The sequence below is a fragment of the Homo sapiens genome, chromosome 10 (genome assembly GCF_000001405.40).
Source record: "Homo sapiens chromosome 10, GRCh38.p14 Primary Assembly".
NCBI lineage: Eukaryota > Metazoa > Chordata > Mammalia > Primates > Hominidae > Homo > Homo sapiens.
Window position 1 is genome coordinate 30,642,384 of NC_000010.11, and position 22,770 is coordinate 30,665,153.

The 22,770-nt window shown below is 43.9% G+C and overlaps 2 annotated features.

Annotated features, from left to right (window-relative positions):
* Positions 1,550-2,121: an enhancer, noted in NCBI's record as "H3K4me1 hESC enhancer chr10:30932862-30933433 (GRCh37/hg19 assembly coordinates)". NCBI's record gives its function as "activates a minimal SCP1, AML or CMV promoter by ChIP-STARR-seq in naive H9 embryonic stem cells {active_cell/tissue: H9 hESC(naive)}" and the evidence as "EXISTENCE:reporter gene assay evidence [ECO:0000049][PMID:30033119]".
* Positions 18,842-20,041: an enhancer, noted in NCBI's record as "CDK7 strongly-dependent group 2 enhancer chr10:30950154-30951353 (GRCh37/hg19 assembly coordinates)". NCBI's record gives its function as "activates an origin of replication core promoter dependent on BRD2, BRD4, P300/CBP, MED14 and CDK7 cofactors, with strong dependence on CDK7, by STARR-seq in HCT116 cells {active_cell/tissue: HCT116}" and the evidence as "EXISTENCE:reporter gene assay evidence [ECO:0000049][PMID:35650434]".

Consider the following 22,770-nt stretch of genomic DNA (forward strand, 5'->3'; position numbering starts at 1 on the left):
ACTCTATTATAGAGAATTCCGTAGGGACTATTTTCGGTTTTGTTTTGTTTGGAGACAAAGTCTTGCTCTGTCGCCCAGGCTGGAGTGCAGTGGCGCGATCCGGCTCACTGCAACCTCGGTCTCCTGAGTTCAAGCGATTCTTCTGCCTCAGCCTCCCAAGTAGCTGGGACTACAGGCACGTGCTACCCCTGGCTAATTTTTGTATTTTTAGTAGAGACAGGGTTTCACCATGTTGGCCAGCTGTTCTCCAACTCCTGACCTCAGGTGATCTGCCCGCCTCAGCCTCCCAAAGTGCTGGGATTACAGGCGTGAGCCACCATGCCCGGCCCCCTAGAACGTAATTTGAATTGGTAAATGCTGGATTAGTAAAAACTAAAAATCAATCCGCTATTTATGTCTCTAACATAATGGCCCTTAATAGGCAACCACTTTTCATGAGTCTTGTTTCAGACATCCCAGACTCCATTTCCCAGAGAAGCGGAGAATGAATGGGTGCTGTATGTTCACTGCCGGGTGTCCGAGAAGCTGCACAGGAAGTGTCTTAACGTGAAGAGAGTCCACACTGGACACCGGCACAAAGGGCAGAGTGAAGGGACGAAGTGTCAGATGCGTCTCTGCCACCAGCACACGTTTCAGCGGTGCTAGATTTGACTAGGCACAGGACTCTAAACTGGTGGTTTGCTGACTATTAACCTCCACGGTATTGCTATCTCATGCTCCTTGACCCCTTCCTAATTTTGCTGTGGTTCGGCAGCTCCAGTCCACTGTTGAAATGCTGGTAGATTTCAAAACTCCGTTGGGACATATTAAATTCTGGTGAGCCAGTGGGTGGGATGCCTTCTGAATGACAAAGGGGCCCCGTGGCTAAAAGCTGAAGGAAATTCATGCAATGATGAATGTGCTGCAATTAATCACCAGAGATCTGTTCTTTTCCTTATATGCGTAGTATAGTGCAGGGTCCAGGGTTGGGGAGAGTCTCTGAGTCCAGATCTTCATAGAATTAAAAATAATGAATATTTGTAATCAGGCATCGCTTGACCAACAACTCCGCCTCCTTAGTTGGAAATACAGACGTCCACTTTTCGCTAGTGTGTAATTATTTTCTGGAATGCTGAGAATTGTTCCCCTGACCTATGGCTCTTTTTTAAGCATCTGGGATATGCAGTCAATTTGCAGGTTGCTATTTTGAAGTCAGGGAGCCTCAGAGAATCGAATATATGCCACATAAGTTCCTGCAAGATGGACTTTCTGGGAGTCCTCTGATGAGGTTGGGAGAAGGCAAAGAGGAGATGTTTCCATGTAAAGGCTGAGCAAGCTCCAGGCCACTGCAGAAGTTCAGCTTTCTTCAGCTCTGTAAGCTGGACCCTGTGGCTGGAGTCTGGCCAACTGCAGGGACAAGTTTCTATTATTATGTAAATGGAGTCCCAGTGCGGCCTTGGAAGAGTTTTTGGCACAGGGTAACCCTTTGTCTGCCAAAAGGTAGCCTCTCCCTTTGCTTCAAGCCCAGAGTGTGCATTTTGCAGTGGTGACCTGTAAGCCACCGGTCAACCTGCAGATTGCCTTATTAGGCAGACTGCGGAGGCTGGTGGCTGGGGACTGGCTGGCAGAGGCGGTGGCAGTGAGCTTGTGTCCTGTACGAAGCCGGAGAACCCCAGCCCCGGAGACGTGGCCTAGTACTTACTGTTCTATAAATGATAGTCCTCCGTGGTGACAGGAATATACACTCTCCTTGGCAGGCATACTTTATGGGTTGGTTGGAGAACAGGAGGTTTGCAGGGGGAGGTGACTGTCCGAAGGACAGAATGGTACGAGGCTTTCTTCACTGCGTAGCTTGTGTGTTCAGTCCTGTATCAGGGCTTATTCTACGGAGTATGGACTTTATCAGGATTTTTTTTTTAACTTTTAAGTTCAGGTTTGTTATATAGGTAAACTCCTGTTATGGGGGTTTGTTGTACAGATTATTTCATCACCCAGGCATTAAGCCCAGTACCCATTTGTTATTTTTCATGATCCTTTCCCTCCTTCCACCCTCCACCCTCCGAAAGGCCCCAGTGTGTGTTGTTCCCCTCTGTGTGTCCATGTGTTCTCATCATTTAGCTCCCACTTATAAGTGAGAACATGCGGTATTTGGTTTTTCTGTTCCTGCGTTAGTTTGCTAAAGATAATAGCCTCCAGCTCCATCCATGTCCCTGCAAAGGACATGATCTCATTGTTTTTTATGGCTTCATAGTATTCTATATCAGGAAGTGTGGAATGTTTTCCTTTTAACCCAGGATGTTTTGCAGACTCTCAATCTTGTTTATGTTTTATACTAAAGTCTTTCTAATCTAATGGTGAGGTCATGTGTGTGGTAGGAAGGAAATATCACCAGATAATAAGGTGGTACAATGGAAACAGCAGAGTTTTAGGAGCCAGGGGACGTGCGTTCCAGGGCTGCCACAAGTGGGCTAAGTGGATAAGTCACTTGCATTGGGGAGGTGACTTCCCCAAGGACAGAACGGTATAGCTCATGTATCTAGGGCTTAGTGGGCAATCACTAGTGATCACTAGTGAATCTGTGATCACTATACATTAAATGTATCCAATCATCACTCTGTACCCCATAAACATGTACATTTGTTGTCAATTAAAAACTAAAATAAAAATGTAGAGTAGACTGAATGCACTCAATTACCTCTCCATCGTACATTTCTCTCCTCAAATTGCATTAACCAGCCTCCCCTTTCCTTTGTGTTCTCTTTAGTAAAACTGCTTAATGAGTGTGTATGGTTAATAGCCACAGCCGAGCATCCACGGGGACCGTTTTCCCAACGGAACCTGTAAGGCTGAATCCATCTTTTCTCTTTTGAGTTTCTTCCAAACTTGCTGCAGTAGCTGAAAGTTAGTGAAGACGGCACTTTCCTGCACTGAAATGCTCGTTCAGATGCCTCAGGTTCTATGGGTTATGGCTCATGGACCAAAGCTGCACATGAGGCAAACGAACACCTGGAGGAGCCTGCGTTCAGGATGCGGCAGTGACCGCGCTCAGAGCGCTCTGGCTCACATCCCTTGTCTAAGCGGCTTCTCATTCATTGAGCTGAGGCGTAGGACAGCCTGCCGGGAAGACAGACGCAAACCGCGGCTCACTCTGGCTCCTGACTGCTCCAGACCCTGGCTTCAGTTCTCCCCTCCCTCCAGAGATCTTGGGGCAGCAGGGCTCATAAGCTGCTGCATGAGAACAGGGACAGCTCTGACTGCTGGAGTCAGACTCAGCGCTTGTGTGTGTGTGTGTGTGTATGTGTGTATGTGTGTGTGTGTGTATTTTTAGCACAGTTGGGAGACAACGTCTGAGGTGCTGCTGGCTCTGCTCCATCTGGTGTCCTTGTCCTTGTCGTCATTTCACTGCTTACATCTGCTACTTGTTCAGGGAAAGCACAAATTCACTTTTCTCCTTCTGTTAAAGAAATAATTTTGGCTGAGCACGGTGGCTCACGCCTGTAATCCCAGTACTTTAGGAGGCTGAGGCGGGCAGATCACTTGAGCCCAGGAGGTTGAGACCAGCCTGGGCAACATAGCGAAAGCACATACGAAAAATACAAAAATTAGCTGGGCATAGTGATGCACGCCTGTGGTCCCAGATACTCCGGAGGCTGAGGTGGGAGGATCACTTGAGTTGAGGGGGTCGAGGTTGGAGTGAACCGGGATAATGCCACTGCACCCCAGCAACAACAGGAGGAAAAGAATAAAAAACTGAGCTGGGCATTGATGGTGGGTGCCTATAGTCCCAGCTGCTTGGGAGGCTGAGGTGGGAGGATCACTTGAGCCCATGAGGTAGAGGCTGCAGTGAGCTATGATCATGCCACTGAATTCCAGCCTGGGTAACAGAACAAGACCCTATTTTTTTTTAATGTGTTTTCTCACTACCTGAAGACCAAGCAGCATGATGTATCCCAGCTTGATGTCTGGGTGTGACAAGCGTCTGAATTTTCTTTTTTCACTTGGGCTTCAGGGATGGCTCTGATGCTTCTTCGCGCACTGTCCACGGCCTCCCTTCCCACCCCGAAATGCCCTGGCTGGTCCCATGGCACGTTCCGTCTGAATGTGGGTGGCTGTCTTGCCGAACCCCTGTCGACTCCATGGGAAGGCACCAGTTTTAAGAGGCCGAAGAAGAGACCCAGAGCCAGTGAACGAGGCACGGGATTCTGTTGGGGACTTGGATACAGGGGAGAGAGTCCAGTGGCAGCGGGCTGAGCAGGAGAAGCACAACCGCTTTCAAAAGGCATGCAGTTTATATAGCAATAGCATGTCCACTTGGCACCTCCCCCGACAATCTCCACCTGGCAGCCTTCACATACCCCAAAACAAACAGTCCGGACCCCCTGTGCATGCAGTGGTGGCAGCAGGGCGGGGAAGCTGCTCAGATGTTCCTCATAGATAAGGAACGAATCTCCAGTTGGCCTCTCCTGGATTCCTTAGCTTGGAACCCTGAACCCCATGCAGGTGCCTCCGCCATACAGGGCCATTCTCAGGGTGTGCCTAAGTGATTGCTGTCAGGCGCATTTACCATGCAGAGGGATGGGACCATTTAAGCCCACGCCCCCGTTAGGCCTCTTCCCAGTTCCAGCTCCCACACTGTCCGCTCTTCTTCCTGGCACGGAGGTGAGGGCCCATGGCCTCCCCATTCATCTATTGCCACCATCTCCTCCACAAATAAGCTCTCCAGTCTCCTCCTCCAGGAAGCCTTCCTTCATCACACTCACCCCATCTGATTATGCTGTTTCCCTGCTTCTTCCTGGGCTTTATATCATCTGTGGCTTGTATTCGTGTTTTCTAACTCTGTGGGTGTATCGTAATCACCTGTGGTGGGAGGACTTTCATTTTAAACAAGCACCCCATGTGGTCTGAGGGTCACCCAAGTTTCAAATCCTTTGCCTCAAATCCAATGTTACACCCACGCATGAGTGTAAACGTGTCTCGAGTCATTTCAACAGACAGTGTGGAATGTGCCTTTGATTTATTTTGTGTCATGACCTCCCCAAGGCACCTGCACTGTGAGCACGGGATCTGCTTTCCCGATGCAATAATATGACCATGAAGAAAGTCAATCATGAACGTGTGAAATATCACGAACACGCCCTCCCCTACCCTGCATCAATCAGCAAGGGGCTGGGGACCTGTTCTGAGAGCCTGGTAGGTCTCTGGTGCCAATTAATACAACCCATGGAAGCCAGGCACAGTGATTCACGCCTGTAATCCCAGCACTCTAGGAGGCTGAGGTGGGAGGATCACTTGAGCTCATGAGTTCAAGACCAGCCTGGGCAATAAGGTGAAACCCTGTCTCTACAACAAATACAAAAATTAGCTGGGCATGGTGGTGTGCGCCTATAGTCCCAGCTACTCAGGAAGCCAAGATGGGAGAATGGCTTGAGCCCGGGAGGTCAAGGCTGCAGTAAGCTGTGATTGCACCACTGCACTGCAGCTTGGGCAACAGAGCCAGACTCCATCTCAAAAAAAAGAAAGAAAAAGAAAAGGAAAAACAAGGGTGACATTAGGAATGGTGGGTGGGTGAGCTTATCTTGCATTTTCATACCGATTATTGTTGCTGAGTTTGTCATTGTTGTTATTTTATTAAGATGCCCTTCTGAGAACAAGGAGGGCCAGAAATTACTTGATTTGAAACTCTTTCCTTCAAATCATTCAAGTCTAGCTCTAGAACAGCTATGATCTATCCGGTATCAACAGACATTTTATATACGTGCTTGTCTGCCATCTGGACTTTTAGACTCACAGGAAATTCTCCTCTGTGACGACTCAGTGTTTCCCTGCTTTCTGTTCATGTGAAAACCATCAAGTAGTGAGCATTGAATGACTGGATTTGGCAGAGCCTTCTCCGCTCTCCCTGGATGATTGTAATCAAGTCAGCCCCTTCCCCTCTGCATGAGGTCTTCTTCTCACGAGAGGAGAGGCGTGGGCCCCCACAGCTCTGAAGGTGTGGCACGCTGCACCTTATGATGTCCCGGGATGCAGCCACAGACTTCATACAGTGAACGCCTAGGTTTACTATTATTATTATTATTATTATTATTATTATTATTATTATTAGAGACAGGGTCTCACTCTGTCACCCAGGTTGGAGTATAGTAGCATGATCAAAGCTCACCGCAGCCTCAAATTTCTGGGCTCAAGTAATCCTCCCTTCTCAGCCTTCTGAGTAGCTAGGGCTACAGGTGTGTACCATCATGCCCAGCTAATTTAAGATTTTTTTTGTAGAGATGGAGTCTCGCTGTGTTGCCCAGGTAGGTCTCTAACTCTTGGTCTCAAGCAGTCCTCCTGCCTCAGCCTCCCAAAATGCTGGGATTACAGGTGTGAGCCACCGTTCCTGGGAACAGCTAGTTTTATGTTTATTCGTCCCATCATTGTTTAAGAGCCCTTTGTGGGTTGGGGCTTTGAAGAGGTCAGAATCGTCGTTGGCGTCTCCTGGCCTCCAGCGAGTGGTGGGCGGGCCATGTGCCCCTCACAAGAGCTGTTCTCCAGGTGCTCAGCATGTGCCTGCATTGTATGTCAGCTGTGATTTGCCCTCAGTGTACATTTTATTGTAGATTGCACTGAAATGTACATACCATGACATTTACCATTTCCACCATGTTTAAGTGAACAGTTCGGTGACATTTAGGTGCATTCGCTCACAGAGTGTGCAGCCATCACCACCATCCCTCTCCAGAACTTCTTCGTCATTCCAAACTGAAACTCTACCTATTCAACAACTCCCCAACTTTCCTTCTGCCCAGCCCCTGATAAACTCCCTTCTACTATCGGTCTCTGAATGTGACCATTCTAGAAACCTCATATAAGTGGGATTGTACAGTATTTGTCCTTTGGTGACTGGCTTATTTCACTTAGCATAATGTCTTCAAGGTTCCTTTACATTGTAGCAAGCATCAGAATTTCCTTCCTTTTTAAGGCTGAATAATATTCCATTGTATGTATATTTCAGTGTGTACTTTAAACAGAACTGACCTATGTCTTTTTTTCTGACAATCAGTTCTCCACCCTTTCTTCCTCTGAGGTACCTGCATTTTTCTCCCCAAGAATCATTAGTCATAGATTTGGAATGAACCAGAAACTAAAACGATTGGAGATAATTTCATTACAAATGTTAACATTACTCTTTTGAACATTTATTTTAAAGACACTAATAAAGTCTTTTAGGTGATTGCAATAAGCCTTTTCTTTGAAAAAGAATTCTGAAGTATAGAAAGGCTGGCACCGTTTTCTTTCAACGCATCTGATAAAGAAAAAATAGTTGTGACTTGTAATATTTCTTATTAAATGTACTTTTGCCTTTTCATCTCTACCTACGTGGTCTGTTTTAAATTACCTTATGCAGTGATGTAACGCAACATTTTATTTGCAGGCTTGTCCAAAATATTACCACTAACCAAAATTCACAGAGCATTTCACAGTGCACGCAGGAGGAGAATTAGACTAAAATGAGGAATCTGGAAAGTCTGACCGACCAGTGAGATGTGATCAAAGAGAAATGAAAGGGCCTAAGTGGGCTTTCCATGGGGGATTGCCTCAGGTCAGGCAGTTCTGCCTCCGATTAAGGATCTACACACATAAAGAAAATTCAACAAAGAAAATGAGAATACCATTTATGGCTGTTGCTAGTGTACAAAATTCTCCTTTACTGGGCTATGAAAATATATCCTTCACTTTGGAATTTCAGTCCAGCTGTGGTCTTTAGTGGCGTATAGTAGATTTCATTAAACTCACTTCCATGGCACTTTTTAATTTTGGAAGTGTATCAGTAACTCACAACAGTATGTACTCAGACAACTGCAGGTCGTAATATCACACTCCCCTGTACTGTCCACTTAAATTCCAGCTCATAGCCGGGCACAGTGGCTCATGTCTGTAATCCCAGCAGTTTAGGACTCTGAGATAGGAGGATCACTTGAGGCCAGGAGTTTGAGACCAGCCTGGGCAACATGGCAAGATCCCATACTTGTTTTTTTTTGTTTGTTTTTGTTTTTTTGTTGTTTTTTTTTTGAGACAGAGTTTCACTCTTGTTGCCCAGGCTGGAGTGCAATGGCGCGATCTCGGCTCACTGCAACCTCCATCTCCCGGGTTCAAGCGATTCACCTGCCTCAGCCTCCCAAGTAGCTGGGATTCCAGGCATGCACCACCATGCCCAGTTAATTTTTGCATTTTTAGTAGAGATGGGGTTTCACCATGTTGGTCAGGCTGGTCTCAAACTCCTGACCTCAGGTGATCCGCCTACCTCGGCCTCCCAAAGTGCTGGAATTACAGGCGTGAGCCACCGTGCCCGGCCAAGATCCCATATTTATAAAGTTAAAAAAATAGTTGAACATGGTCTTAGCTAGTCAAGAGTCTGAGGTAGGAGGATGGCTTGAGTCCAGGAGGTTGAGGCTGTAGTGAGCGGTGCTCGTGCCACTGCACTCTAGCCTGGACAGCAGAGCCAGACCTTATCTCAAATAAATAAATAAATAAATAAATAAATAAATAAATTCCAGCTCATTTTTCTGTAGACTGGGAGTGCTTTCATTGATGTTCGGTGAGCACAACGAGGTAACATGAGGTGACATCGTACAGACCTCTGCAGGAGAGTGTAGTGCACCTGAATCTCTTTTCAATACAGAGTTCCTTGCACAGATTAAATAATGCAGTCCATTTTCAAAGTGCTTCCATATATGTTCTTTCACTTTATCCTGGCCTCACCATCCTATTTTCCTCTTTGATTTTTTTTTTTTATTTTATTGTGGCTGGTCCTATTGCCTTCATCTTCATTTGTATTTAATTGTTTTGCTAATTACAGAAGGAAATCATGCATATGGTGGATACTTTGGAAAATAGAGAAGGAAAAACATGAACAGAGTTATCTCTGAATTATAAGAAAATTAATGCTTGCTCTATCTCCTGTCATTCTGATTAGGTGTGTGTGTATCTCTAATGTAACATTAAGAATTTTCAAATCAGTAATGGAGCTTCAACCCTAGTTTGCTTCTGTAATTTATTTACGCAGTCTTCTATATGCACCCCCATGTAGACTAGTTCTAATTTTATAAATTTATAAACAAAACCATGTTAAACATCCTTGAGTTCATTCATAGTAATTTCCTTGTGTGCATTTCCAGAAATAGAATTAATGAGTCATTGCTTCCTACACACTTCATAGTAGCCATGTCCACATCTTATCCCTCTCCAATAACGTGGGAGAATTAGGAAGAAAAGGAAAAATAATAATCAATTGCTTCTTTTTATACACAACACCCACACCCCACCAGGGACACTGACTTCTCTCTGAGCCTTATGGCCTTAGCTATGCCCTAGTTACTCATATCTGTGGGCGGCCCTGGTTTTGAGCAATGTCTGTGGGATCAAAACTAGACCTAGAAATCATAAGGTTTATGAAAGACAACTGCAGCTGGCCTGACGGCTCCTTCTGGGGTCAGGCTGGCCCCTTTACTAGAGACATCCATGTGGGCCAGGGCTGGGAGGCCCTATGACCTCAATCCAGGACAAGTTTACAACAATGGCCCCGGTTCTCTTGTGCTCAGGCTGATCAGGAATGTGGGAGTTGTCCTGGGGAGAGTCAGAGCATGTGGATTTTCAGCCTGGCACTTCCACGCCACAAGCTTTGTGACCTTGAGTATTCTACAGGAGTCATCTAACATTTCATTACATGAAGACCAGGTGATCAGAAAGGCCCCTTCGGCTCCAGTCTTCCCAGGGTCCACCTGGGCCTGATTCACTTGTTCCAGTGATACCACTGTGGGGTGTCAGCATTGCAATGGCTCACTCATAGATCCTTCAGGTCTCCTCCAGCCACCACCCATGAACTATGACACGACATGGCACATACCATGGCCCGATGTCATGTGTACCATGGCATAGTGTGATGTGTACCATGACATGACCATGTTCCATGACATGCTATGACAGTGACCTCCCTCAGCCTCTCCCAGGCACACGGTTTTACCTCTTCTCCTAAAGCAGGTTCGCATGCCCATCTAAAGGCAACTTCAATATTTGCTTTTACTTCTCTTTAGTTAAAGATGAAAACCTTAAAAATATCCGCTAAAATATTGTACTTCCATAAAGCATTGCCCCTGAGTAAGATTAGTGCTTCTCAGTGGACACAGCAGCAGGGAAGTTTGTGCGTTCATGCTGAGCTGGTAGCTGTGTGATGCTATTGAAAAGGGAATACACCACCATCAGCGCTCAGTTAAAACGTCTTCTCCCTGAAATTTAAGAAAGCCACAATCACAACTTAGAATTCCTCTGCAAATAAATATGTTAACCTATGGAATGATGTAAGGAAATGTTTGGGTATTTTGTAGCTCCCCTGTGTGAATGAGCTAGCCTAAAACAATGATGATAATAATAATTTTTGAATGTCAAGTGGAAAAACTAAAAATAATAATAATTCATTATAATTATTGGAGAGTAAAGGAAAAATTTTCACAGATACTTTCTATTAACATAAAATATAGATTTTTCTTCACAGTCTTATTTGGTTTCATATGGATAGGATGCTTAAATAATAGATTAAATTTTATATCCATAATTTCATAAAAAATGTTATGCTTTTTCCTTTCAACAATTAAGTCATATTTAAGTCAGTTTGCTTTGTATCATAATCCATAGGTGAAGCAAAGAATTCTAATAAGACTTTGTTACCAACTTAAAGAGAATATCCAACATTTTTAAAAATTCTGTAGTAGAATTTCATTTAAAATTTTTAAAATATTGGAAGGGAGGGAGGAGGGCAAGGGCTGAGAAACTAACGATTGGGTACTATGCTCCGTCCTGGGGTGACAGGATCCATTGCATCCTAAACCTCAGTATCACTTAATGTACCCATGTAACAAATCTGCAGCACATACCCTCAAATCTAAAATAAATGTTGAAAAGAAAAAGAAAAGAAAAAAAGGAAAAGCAAGTGACAGGACAATTTGAAAAGAAAATTTAGAATAGACTTATTCTTTAATAATAATACAAAATCAACATTTAGATTCTTTTAGGATGACTGTAATTGACTATTCTATAGGAAGAGCAGTTTTCAGGCACAGAAAGTGTGATAAGCAGTGATACTATGTTCTGTAAAGTGTTACGTTCTTTATCGAGGATTTTTTTGTCCACATGTCAACATATAATTTCATCCTATCTCACTCTCTCTCTCTTTCTCTTTCTCTCTCTCTCTCTCTTTTATTTTTCTTTGAGACAGGGTCTCACTCTGTTGCCCAGGCTGGAGTGCAGCTGTGTGATCATGGCTCACTGCAGCCTCAACCTCCTGGGCTCAAGTGATCCTCATGCCTCAGCCTCCCAAGTAGCTGGGACTACAGGCACGCACCACCACACCCAGCTCATTGTTTATTTTTTGTAGAGACAAGGACTTGCCATGTTGCCCAGGCCAGTCTTGAACTCCTGGCCTCAAGTGATCCTCCAGCCTTGGCCTCCCAAAGTTCTGGGATTACAGGTGTCAGCCACCATGACTGGTTCATCTCTTTATTTCCAGAATCAGTTGCTTCTACTATTTCCTCTCCTTCCTCTTCTCCTCCCAACACTCCCTCTTTTCTTTTTGTTGCTAATTATCTATGACCTTACCATCAAGTTTCTAATTTAGTTATCCATGGTACTGACATTGTTCCTTGCTGAATTTTTTTTAACTATCCTATTTGCCATACTTTTTCCTGACCTTGTGACTATAATGTAATGAGGAGTTTAGAGAAAAATACCAAATGCTATCACTGACACCTCTTGTACCCAGGGTTGATGTACCTTGTGTTTATGTGTCTTTATTAATTCAGCATATAATTCTTCATTTTCACCTTAAGTGTGTTTGTATTTTACAAATTAGTCTAAGTCCACCTGGTTTGAACACACGATACTAACTCCACACACCCATTTTAGAAGGAGATGTCTAGTTTTTAGAAGAGATTATCTTGTGATTTCCTGTGGTCATTCAGCAAACATTTCCTGCAGCCCTACTGTGCACCAGGTACAGTGTCCAGAACTAAAGATACAAAGACAAACTCAGAGTCCCTGCTCCTAGGTGGGGTGTGGTGAATCACAGTCTTGATCCCACCTCCCCAAGATCCCATAGCTCCATCACCAAACAGTTGTCTATCCAGGAGCCAGTTACCTTTCTAGCCCTATTTCCTTAGCTTGCAAATGAGATTATTTCCCTTGGTTTTCTTGAATGTTCCATTTCTCTGTAAATATGGTCAGTCTGTAATTATTGCGAATTTTTCTTGGAATTGCATGAGCATTGCTTGGGCCCACCGACTACATATTGTGGTTAAAATTAAACAGGGGGCAGTCTAACAGGTGAAGCTTAACTTAATGGCTTCTGCCTCAAATTAAAATTTTGGGGCCAGTCGCGGTGGCTCATGCCTGTAATCCCAGCACTTTGGGAGGCCAAGACAGGCAGATCACCTGAGGTCAGGAGTTCAAGACCAGCCTGACCAACATGGCAAAACCCCGTTTCTACTAAAAATACAAAAAAACTAGCTGGGCGTGGTGGCAGGTGCCTGTAATCCCAGCTACTTGGGAGGCTGAGGCAGGAGAATCACTTGAACTGGGGAGGCTGAGGTTGCAGTGACCCGAGATCTCGCTACTGCACTCCAGCCTGGGCAACAAGAGAGAAACTCTGTCTCAAAAAAAAAAAAAAATTGGAATCTCTAGTAATATCTGCCTTTCTTTTCCCACAGTTTCACTCATATGTTGTTCATAAATCTTAAGTATGGGTTTTTGGCTCTCTGTTAGGAAAATACTTCATTTAACTCAGCCAAAGCCAGACTTGGAGCAGCCTGGAAATACTCAAGCGTCTCTTCTTCCCAACACACGAGGCTCTCTGTAGGTTTTTCTTTGTATGTGTGTCCGTAGGGAGAGGAAGTTGTATCTGACTCCTCCGAGGATGGTTAGGTTGCAGCACTGTCTCCTTAGCCGGAGCAAATGCTGGGATGCGCCATGGCTTTGCCTTGGTCATCTACATCACCCACGTCCCATCACTGGGCTCCAGTCTGTTGCAGCGCCTCCAGGCTTAATTTCTGTTCATAATCTGATTATGGGGTCTGAGCTATTCCAGCCAGTGGCCTCTTGCTTCTCCTGTTCCATAGGCACAAAGATACAAGTGCCTGGTCGCTCTAGTCCTGCACTGTGAAAAATCTCAACCCAGTTTTGCTTAGACCAGACAAAGGTGGTAGCTGGCTGAGAATTAGCTGTAGAGCAGGCTGTGTGACCGAGCCGTCTGTGTGCAGCCATGTTCAGAAGCCCAGGGTTTTCCAGCTATTTGGGAGCTTTCAAATTCTCTGAGAAACAAGGTAACGCAAGAGAAATATGAAATGCATATGTATGGATTTTATAACATAATGAATGCTTGGGGTCCTCTATTTTGCCCTGTGTATTCTCCTGTGTCCAGTTACTTATACACGTTTCTCAAAAGACACTTTAAATATCTAACTGAGCTTATTTGTGATTGTTGATAATGTGAATTTTTTTCCTTTAGTAAGTTAAAGTTACTACTAAACCACTGAAACCTTTTTGTAGGAAAAATTGCAAATGCAGTTGGAATGCCCACACTTTGGATCAAATTCTAGTTGTGCTGCACTTTAGCTAAAATAGTTTTCTAAATCAAATGCTATACATACTAAATTATTTCCAGTAGGCAGTGGTGAGTAGCGTCTTTTTATTAATTCTTCATGTGAGACAGTTTGGAACAAGATACTGTCTTTTCAGTGGCTTTCTTCCAGCACAGAGGAAAATACATGCTTTCAATGTAACTACTGAAGTGGTGTGGCATGTTCAGTTCACTGATTGAACAAAAATGAAACGCTAAGGTTATTTTGAGTATCATATTTGAAACTCAGCCATTATACATCAGAACTGCTTTCCAGCTCAAATGCACTATTGGGAAGTGACTTGAACAATTCGGACCTCAGATTCAGGAATTTTCTCCTACAGCACTTGAAAGCTTTCTGAATTGATTTCTCTTTGGCTAAATACATAACAAGATACTTGTATAATTAGGAGAAAAGCTTAGATGTTTTACTGGCATTATACTTCTCATTTTACTGTATTTCTTTAGTTGGCCACAGTTCCAAATTCCAAGATCGAGGCTGTATTTTGATGGATAATAAAGCGTCGACGTCTGATATATTTTGTACTTCTTTTTCTTCAGGCTTCTGCCTGTAACTATTGAACAGCCAAAGGCACTTCCTTAGGGGAAGGAGTTTCTGTAAGTGGTCTATTTGTGGTTTTCTTAGTGGGCAAATTGTTCCTATGGATGTAAAACAGATTACATGCCATTAGACTGCTTATAAATTTTGTCTGTGGTTTTGATTAACCTGTTCACTTGGGATGTGTTTTTCCTGTATAGAATTGTTACCAGCTTTCTTTACATAATATACGTTGTCTTCAAAAATAAATAAATGGTTATTTTTATTGGTTGTTATTGTTTGATTTTAATGAAAGCAAAAGACACAGCTGAGTTGTTTTTTGGTCTTCAGTCCCCACTCCCATGCTTTAAAGGCATCTCAAACATTCCTAGTTACCATGACCAAAATTTCCTATTTTCTCCTTTATTCCTGAGTATGGAACTATTCAGTACTTAATTGCTTTGAGGTATTCTTGTTGCCAGGACAAATTCAAATGATAGCATTGAACTATGTGTGAATTATTATTATTTGTGTTATTATTAGTTTTACCCATTTAGTAAAGTTGGCTACTTTTGAGAAGAGGAAAAAAAAACTTGCCTATGTAAATTTCCATGTGGAATTTGATTCTTGGAAGGTGTCATTTTTGTATTTCTAGTTTTTATCTGGTTAATGGTTTCCTTTTTCCTAAATTGTATGTTCAGAGAGAGTTTGGGGAATTTTTTCTCATTGGATTTTTAACATTTTGTGTAACTATTTCAATGTTATATTATTTCTTTTCCCTTAGATTTCAACAATAAAAACTTAAGCTTCATTGGATTCCCATGTCAAAGGAAAGTTTCAAGATAAAGTAGCCTTGTCTCAAGGACTGTTAAATTTTGAAGATTTGTCGTAGCTTTTAAAATTATTCTCTTGAATATCTAACTCTTAAGTTTCAATGTTTGGCAATATGTTTTCTCCCTAGAATTTGATTTATTAAAATGTATGAAGCAAAGAATTCTTTTTGTATTTAATTCGGTTTACGGAAGTGATTTGGAGAACAGAATCTTGGTGTCTCTTGTCATTGCAAACTTTTAAAGGGCTATTATCTTTTCTTTCTCACACCTGCCTCTAAGCAGGCACTATCCTTTTGCAATCTGTCCATCAAAGAAGGGAGCTAGATTCTTTGCAGAAATGGTTTAGACTTGTTCCTCCTCCCTTTCTCCTTCCCTCCCTCCTTCTTTTCCCTCCTCCCTCCCTCCCTTTCTCCATCCACTCATCCATCCATCCATCCACCCATCCATCCATCCATCCACCCATCCATCCATCCATCCACCCATCCATCCATGTGAGTTCTTGTTCCCTGGTTTTCCCAACTCAATCTTTCTGTACTTCCAGTCCCCTTGGCTGCAGAATATTATGGGTGCTAATTTGATTTGCCTAATGTGCTAAAACTCCATGACACATCATCATAGATGTGAGGAAGTGTGGAAATGAATGCCTGTGCCATACACAGTAGCTGTATCTCAGGTGCTTCTTAGTAGATCACTGTCATTAATGGAGTTTGATATTTTCAAATGGAGGCACAAAGTTGTCCCCTACACAGTCAGGCAAAGATCTCAATCTGTGCTTCATTATAGCGGAAGGACCCAGCCCCCATTTCCACACAGTTGCTCTTGTGCCTAAGGTATTATGACATTGTTCCTTGACCAAAAAGGGTTTGCATTTCAACAACATTAGGATAGACAGGGGTCTAACTCCTGTCCTCCTCAGGCTGAGCCTGCTCTGCATTTGAAAATGGCAGTTGATCTTGTAAACACACTGGATGGGACAAATCCTTGGTGTATTTCCTCCACATCTTTTAAGTGTTTATGCTTTAATTTTTACACACAATATCATCAAGCGGCACATCTAAGTACAAGGTTAATTAGAGCAATGATGATCCAGGGTCATCAGTGAGGTTGTCTTAACTGACTCACGAAATGTTACTTTTTTAATGGGATGCATCCGTATTTCTCATCTTGGCCGTGTTTTAATAGGATCTGAGGCTTGGTTTCTAATATGTCCCTAGCAGGTTGGTTTAACTGTCATGGAGCTAATAAGTGACTAAGGGAAAAAGAGACAGGAAGGCATTCCTCATTCAAGGACAGGAAAAGCATGCAATATGAAAGTCACACACGTCAGTGGACAGAGACTCAAAGAGACACAGCTATTCTCAAATCATGGACAGTATGTCATGCATACCTATTAAAATGACAGCCTGTGTGCCATGGTGCTAAGTGTGAAATGGGCTGGAGGTACAAGAGCCTGCTTCCTTAAAAAAAATCTGGTCAACCAGACACCAGCTAAAAGAGACGAAAATATGAGCTAATGGGGCTTCGTCTCCCATATCTTCTAATTTAAATTTCAGTAGTGGAATGAGCAGATTGTGGAGGTGGGTGCTGGACAGTCCCTGTGTGGGTCCTGGATAGCCCTTGTAATAATATTCCACATTGTAAAAAACAGAGATGATAACAGCAGAGTATCCTGCTCTCCCTTTAATAAAATTCCCCCGTGTTGCTATGGGTAGTGATTTAAGTAGGTTAATTGAACACATAATTTTTTTTTTTTTTGAGATGGAATTTCGCTCTGTTGCCAGGCTGGAGTGCAATGGCGTGACCTCGGCTCACTGCAACCTCCACCTCCCAGGTTCAAGCGATTCTCCTGCCTCAGCCTCCTGAGTAGCTGGGACTACAGGCGTGTGCCACCATGCCCAGCTAATTTTTGTATTTTTAGTAGAGATGGGTTTCATCATGTTGGCCAGGATGGTCTCGATCTCTTGACCTCGTGATCCACCTGCCTCAGCCTCCCAAAGTGCTGGGATTACAGGTGTGAGTCACCGCGCCTGGCCAATGGGACACATTTTAAAGAAAAATTGCCACGGAAGCGGGGGCATTCTCTTAGATTATTGAAGCAGAGGAAGGGGGGTGGTGGCACAATCAGTCCTAAAGAACGAGCACTGTTTCAGGGGAGACAAAGAGTTGGATCAAAATCTGAAAGATGTTTCTCACTGTTAGAAAGTTAAAATCAAAATACAGAAAATGAAGTGGATAGCATTTACTTTAGTATCTATGGAGAGATGCTTCCCTACTGAAACATAGGCTCTTACTTTGGGTTGAGCTGTAGTGAGACACCAAGGCCTGCAGAGATTATCCATGCAGACACCCCTTTGTCCCTCGGGAGGTTGAGGTTGGGGGGTGACTGAGGAGGAAGGGCAGGATCCAGCATCCGAGAGCTCCCTGCTTTTGGGGTCACCAGTTGTGTGCGTTAGTAATGGGCCCTACCAGTCTCCTGCTGGGGGGCCTCTGAGTCAGAAGAAGCAGAGAGGAGAGGAGAGTCCAGACCCTCACAGGTGCTTGTGTTTCATCAGCGTCAGATGAGCCAAAAGAGGTGCTCACTGATGAACCGTCCTGAATTTTATGAGCGCGTCTTACCTGTAATTTCACTGATGATCAGTGCCCTCAGGTAAAGAAAGTTCAGGGAAGAAACATTATTTAAAAAAAAAAAAAAGAAAGAAAGAAACTTGGGCCAGGTGTGGTGGCTCACGCCTGTAATCCCAGCACTTTGGGAAGCCAAGGCAGGTGGATCACAAGGACAAGAGATCGAGACCATCCTGGCCAGCATGGTGAAACCCCATCTCTACTAAAAATACAAAAATTAGCTGGGCACCCTGGTGCGTGCCTGTAGTCCCAGTTACTCGGGAGGCTGAGGCAGGGGAATTGCTTGAACCTGGGAGGTGGAAGTTGTAGTGAGCCGAGATCATGCCACTGCACTCCAGCCTGGGCAAGGCAACAGAGCAAGATTCCCTCAAAAAAAAAAAAAAGAGAGAGAGAAACTTGATTTCATTTATTGATTTGAGGGGTCTTGCATCAATCACAGCTTGTGGCACCACCTTGAGCCAGAGCCACACTTTCCAGCCCAGTCTGCCTGCTCCAGCTCTTCCTGTCTGCTCATCTGCTTTCTCAGAAGCCCCCAGTCATTTAGCGGGAGCAGGGGAGAGAGGCAGTGGAGACAGGACCAGAGGGTGATGACAGCCGTGTGGACTCAGTAATAAATGTTTACCTGGAAGCTGCAGATTCTAAAATCAATACTTTATAAATATGTACAATTATGCCAGTTTTTCACACATGTATGCAAGGTGAGCAAAGGTACTAAAGAATGAGGTGTTCCAAATTATGTCCTGTCCAAAGATGAAAGAAGGAAAGAAAGGAAGAAAGGAAAGGAGGGAGGGTGAGAAGGAAGGGAGGGAGGAGGAGCTTATGACTAATGTTATTGACTGTATGCTTTTCTAGTTATTCTTAATGTTTGTAATGATTTTACCTCTGGCCATCACATCAACTTTGCAAAAAAGGTACACAAAAAATACTTCAGGGTATTCATTTGAAGTGTTTTGTAGTAGTCATTCATTCGGCATATTTTAATTTTTTAAAAATAATATTTAATTCAATAATTTAATTAATTTTTTAAGAGACAAATTCTCACTCTGTCACCCAGGCTGGAGCACAGTGTCATAATCATAGCTCATTGCAGCTTCAAACTCCTAGGCTTAATGGTTCCTGCCACCTCAGCCTCCTGAGTAGCTGGGACTATAGGCATGCACCACTGTGCCTGGCTATTTTTTCTTTCTTTCTTTCTTTCTTTTTTTTTTTTGCAGAAATGGGATCTTGCTATGTTGCCCAGGCTGGTTTCGAACTCCTGGGCTCAAACAATCCTCCTGCCTCAGCCCCCACAAAGTGCTGGGATTACCAAGGTGTGTAATATACTTTTGTTTCTGGTCGAATAGGCAGTGGGTCCGGGTGCTCTGCCCTGAGGACACGACCAGTCAACTGAGGCCCAGACGAAGAGTGAGACGAAGCCACACGATGGCAGGAGGCTGGAGAGGAGAGAGCTCAGGGGGAGGAAACAGCATGTCGAGTGAACCACGTTAAGAAGCATCAGAGACTTTCCTCTTAGAGCTTTGGTTTTCTTTGGTTTCTGACCTGCCATCAAAAGGCTGCACTTCACATGGGTGCTGGCACTATTTGTAATGTGTTTCGAGAAAATAAGTGCCTGTGAAGCCAGGGAGTGTCCGGTGATGACTCGTAAAGCTCACTCTGTAAATTCAGCGGAGTATTTAACTCAGGGACACTTTCTTGCTTTTCATTAGTGGCTCCATTGAGCTTTCTGAGAAACAGAAAGAAAGAGGAAAACAAAGACATACAGAGGTTTATTTTTGAAAATAAGAGATAGCATTTGTACCTCAAGGTCAGTGGCCCAACAAGCTGAATATTTCAAGGATTACATTATTTAATTCTAATGTAGATGTTTTTTCCTGAAAAGATGTTAGTTTCCCAAAGTACAGAGCTTAGTCAAGATATTTAAATTAGCAATTAAATAATCAGTTAAAATAACATGCCATTCCTTAAGTCGAGTACATTTCTGCCACTATTTAATTTTTTTAGGTTTCTACACTGAAAGGAGTAGTTACTGCCTTACAATTCAGTGTCTAGAAGTCGGTGTTAATTCTAAGTTTCTGACTAGGCAGGTGTCCTAGGCTCTTCCAGCCAATCTAGAGAGTGGCTTATGAAGCCTAATTATTCTCAAGACTTTTCATTAAATAATGTGAACACACTTACCTATGGAATGTAAGCTTTGCTACATTGTATATGGAAAGACAAAGATTTCAGATGGGCTTGGTTCTAGGAGGGCGGGATGGTGGCCGTGCTTTAGACTGTGTGGAAGTTCTTTCTGTGTAGTTTATACAGGGGGTAGAGGTTATTCAACTGTCCCACTTACACAGTATGCACAGCGGCTTCCTCGGTCTCTTCCTTGGCCTCTATGGAAATGCACCCGTACAGCGGGAAGGTCAGCTTCACAGTGAGTCTTTTTCAAGCCCATCTTTTCCCCCTCTGGAGGTCACACTGACCTTGAGGAACTGCAGTTCCCTGTTTCCACAGGTTTCTTTTCTTCCTTCGAGGCAGCAGCACCCTCTGCCCTGCTTGCTCTGGCCACATCAAAGACCATGGAGGTGGGTACACAGCAGTCTTGGGGTGACTGTGCCTAGTATGAAACTAGGAGATGGATTTGAATCTCATCTCCTCTTCTTGTCAAATGTGAGTCTTTGGGCAAATCATGTAACAATTTCCAGATCTGTAAACTGAGGATGGTACTAGTTCCAGTGTTGTGCTGCGGCCAGACATGTGTGCCTCTCTCCCGACTTTGAGTTCAGTGAGTCCTGTGGGAGCCTGAGATCCACCATGGTGGGTGGGAGTGTTGACACCACCAGTCAATATTACAAAGCAGGTGCTTTTTGCAGGGCCAGGTGGAGGGCCTGGGTGGGCGGGGCAAGAGGGCAGGGCCATTTGTACCTTTATAACCACACCACGGAGTAGTTCATGCCTCTTAGGGTCTTGGGGAGATAATTAAGGAGATACATGGGGTGTGCTTAACATGGGGGAAAGGCCACAGTAAGGGCTCACTTCCTTTATTATTCGCCCATTTCATTTCCTCTTTTATTCCAACACGAGTCTTCATGAGGCTTTCCAAACTTTTGACCATGCTTTGCCGTCTTGGTTGTTTGAAGGCATCTGTTACTTTAACATAATTTTAACACTGGAGGACAGCGTGTAGATCACCTAGACAAGTTGTTGATTTTCTGAAGAAGAAATTGTAGCACAAAGAGATTGGGTAATGAATCCAGCTTGCACAGCTATTCCTAGGTCGAGAAGAGGGGGTCAGTCTGAGCTAAAGCATACAACTTCCAGTTCAGCAATGTTTTCACCCCCACACACCACACCACCGGCCAATCCTGCTGTAATTACTTAGTTGCACAAAAAGTCACAATATTTACTGAAATATAAGTAAATGAAAAAAGCTACCAATTTACTCCCCAATATAAAATGTTTTACTTGCAATCTACAATGGCATAATTTTTATGTTCTGCATTTTTCTACTTAATTTCATATCTTGATTTAAATGGACTTAACTTTATTAATGGAGTAATGTTTCACTTGCAGAAGGAGTTCTCACTCGAAGATAAAGAACAGCTCGCTAACCACGAAAGAGGAATCGATGCTCAGCTTTTAGTTGCACTTCCTAAAGGTAAGGCTGTTCCTAAGTGACCAACCATGTCTGGGTAGATGCGTATTGTGTTGTCCGAATTTCCTTGAGCAGAACTCTCTCCCTAACCTCCAGCTTACAGTCTCCTTTCGGCCCTTCCTGCCTCCTCCCAGAATTAGCTTCAATTCCCTTCCCCCTCTCTCCATGCATCCATGCATTTTTAATCCTTACCTTTCTGCTCCTTCTTGCCCTTTAATTTTAGGCATCCTCAGGTTTTCGCCAGAGGCTGGGTGTGGCAAGTGAGACAGGGAACATAAAATCGACCTTCCCTCATCTCTTTTCTCTGTTTAACCTTCTCCAAGGGCAGTGAGTTCTGACCATACCCCCATCTCTTCTCTGTCCACCCACTCCTGCTGCCTCTGGAGGCTGCCCCAGGTCTCCTGATGCTTCCCAGTATTAGGGCTTTTACATTTAACATCTTGTAGCTTCCTGCTGGGCTAAGAACAGCCCACGCAGACTTTATCGTGACCATCTTTCTTCTTCCCCAAGCGGGCACTCACACGTGTTTGGTGAATTACTATTTCCACTGGTCAAGGCGCACATGCGGTAAAATGTCTGCACCAACTGTATACCAATTCCCCCTAGTTTTGCCTGTGAAATGATGTAAACATTGCTTGGTCTTTGTAACTGTAACACTAGCACAAGGAATGATCATTAGTCTCAGCTCACAAAATGTCTTCATCCTGACTGAGCTGTGGAAACCTTCCAGTGGAAGAAACAGATTTGATGGAAGGGCAGATTTTTTTCTACTCTGAAAGAAAAAGCAAAAATCATGCCCCAGAGAAATTAGAACAAAAAACATATTCTTTTAATAGAAAGTAAATCCAGTTAAAAAGTCCCGCTGACGAATTGGAATATATCCTGAGGAACTGAACGGGTGATAGGCCGAGACACAGTCTGATGAGGGTGAATGTCTGAAAGACTCAGGGGATTTGGCTTGGTGAAGGAAACCCAGACAGATACATGTGGCAATTTTCAAGAACTGACAACACTGTCAGCCGGAATACAGGTTTATTCTATGTTGCTCCAGAGGCCAAAAGTAAGAATAACGTGTAGAATTACAAGGAGGCAGATGAGATTTCATATCAAAAAGAAAATTGGGCCGGGCGCGGTGGCTCACGCCTGTAATCCCAGCACTTTGGGAGGCCGAGGCGGGTGTATTACGAGGTTAGGAGATCGAGACCATCCTGGCTAACTCGGTGAAATCCCATCTCTACTAAAAATACAAAAAATTAGTCGGGCATGGTGGCGGGCACCTGTAATCCCAGCTACGGGAGGCTGAGACAGGAGAATGGCATGAACCTGGTAGGTGGAGCTTGCGGTGAGCCGAGATCGTGCCACTGCACTCCAGCCTGGGCGACAGAGCGAGACTCCGTCTCAAAAAAAAAAAAAATGAAAATTAGGCCAGGTGCGGTGGCTTACGCCTGTAATCCCAGCACTTTGGGAGGCCGAGGCGGGTGGATCACGAGGTCCAGAGTTCAAAAACAGCCTGGCC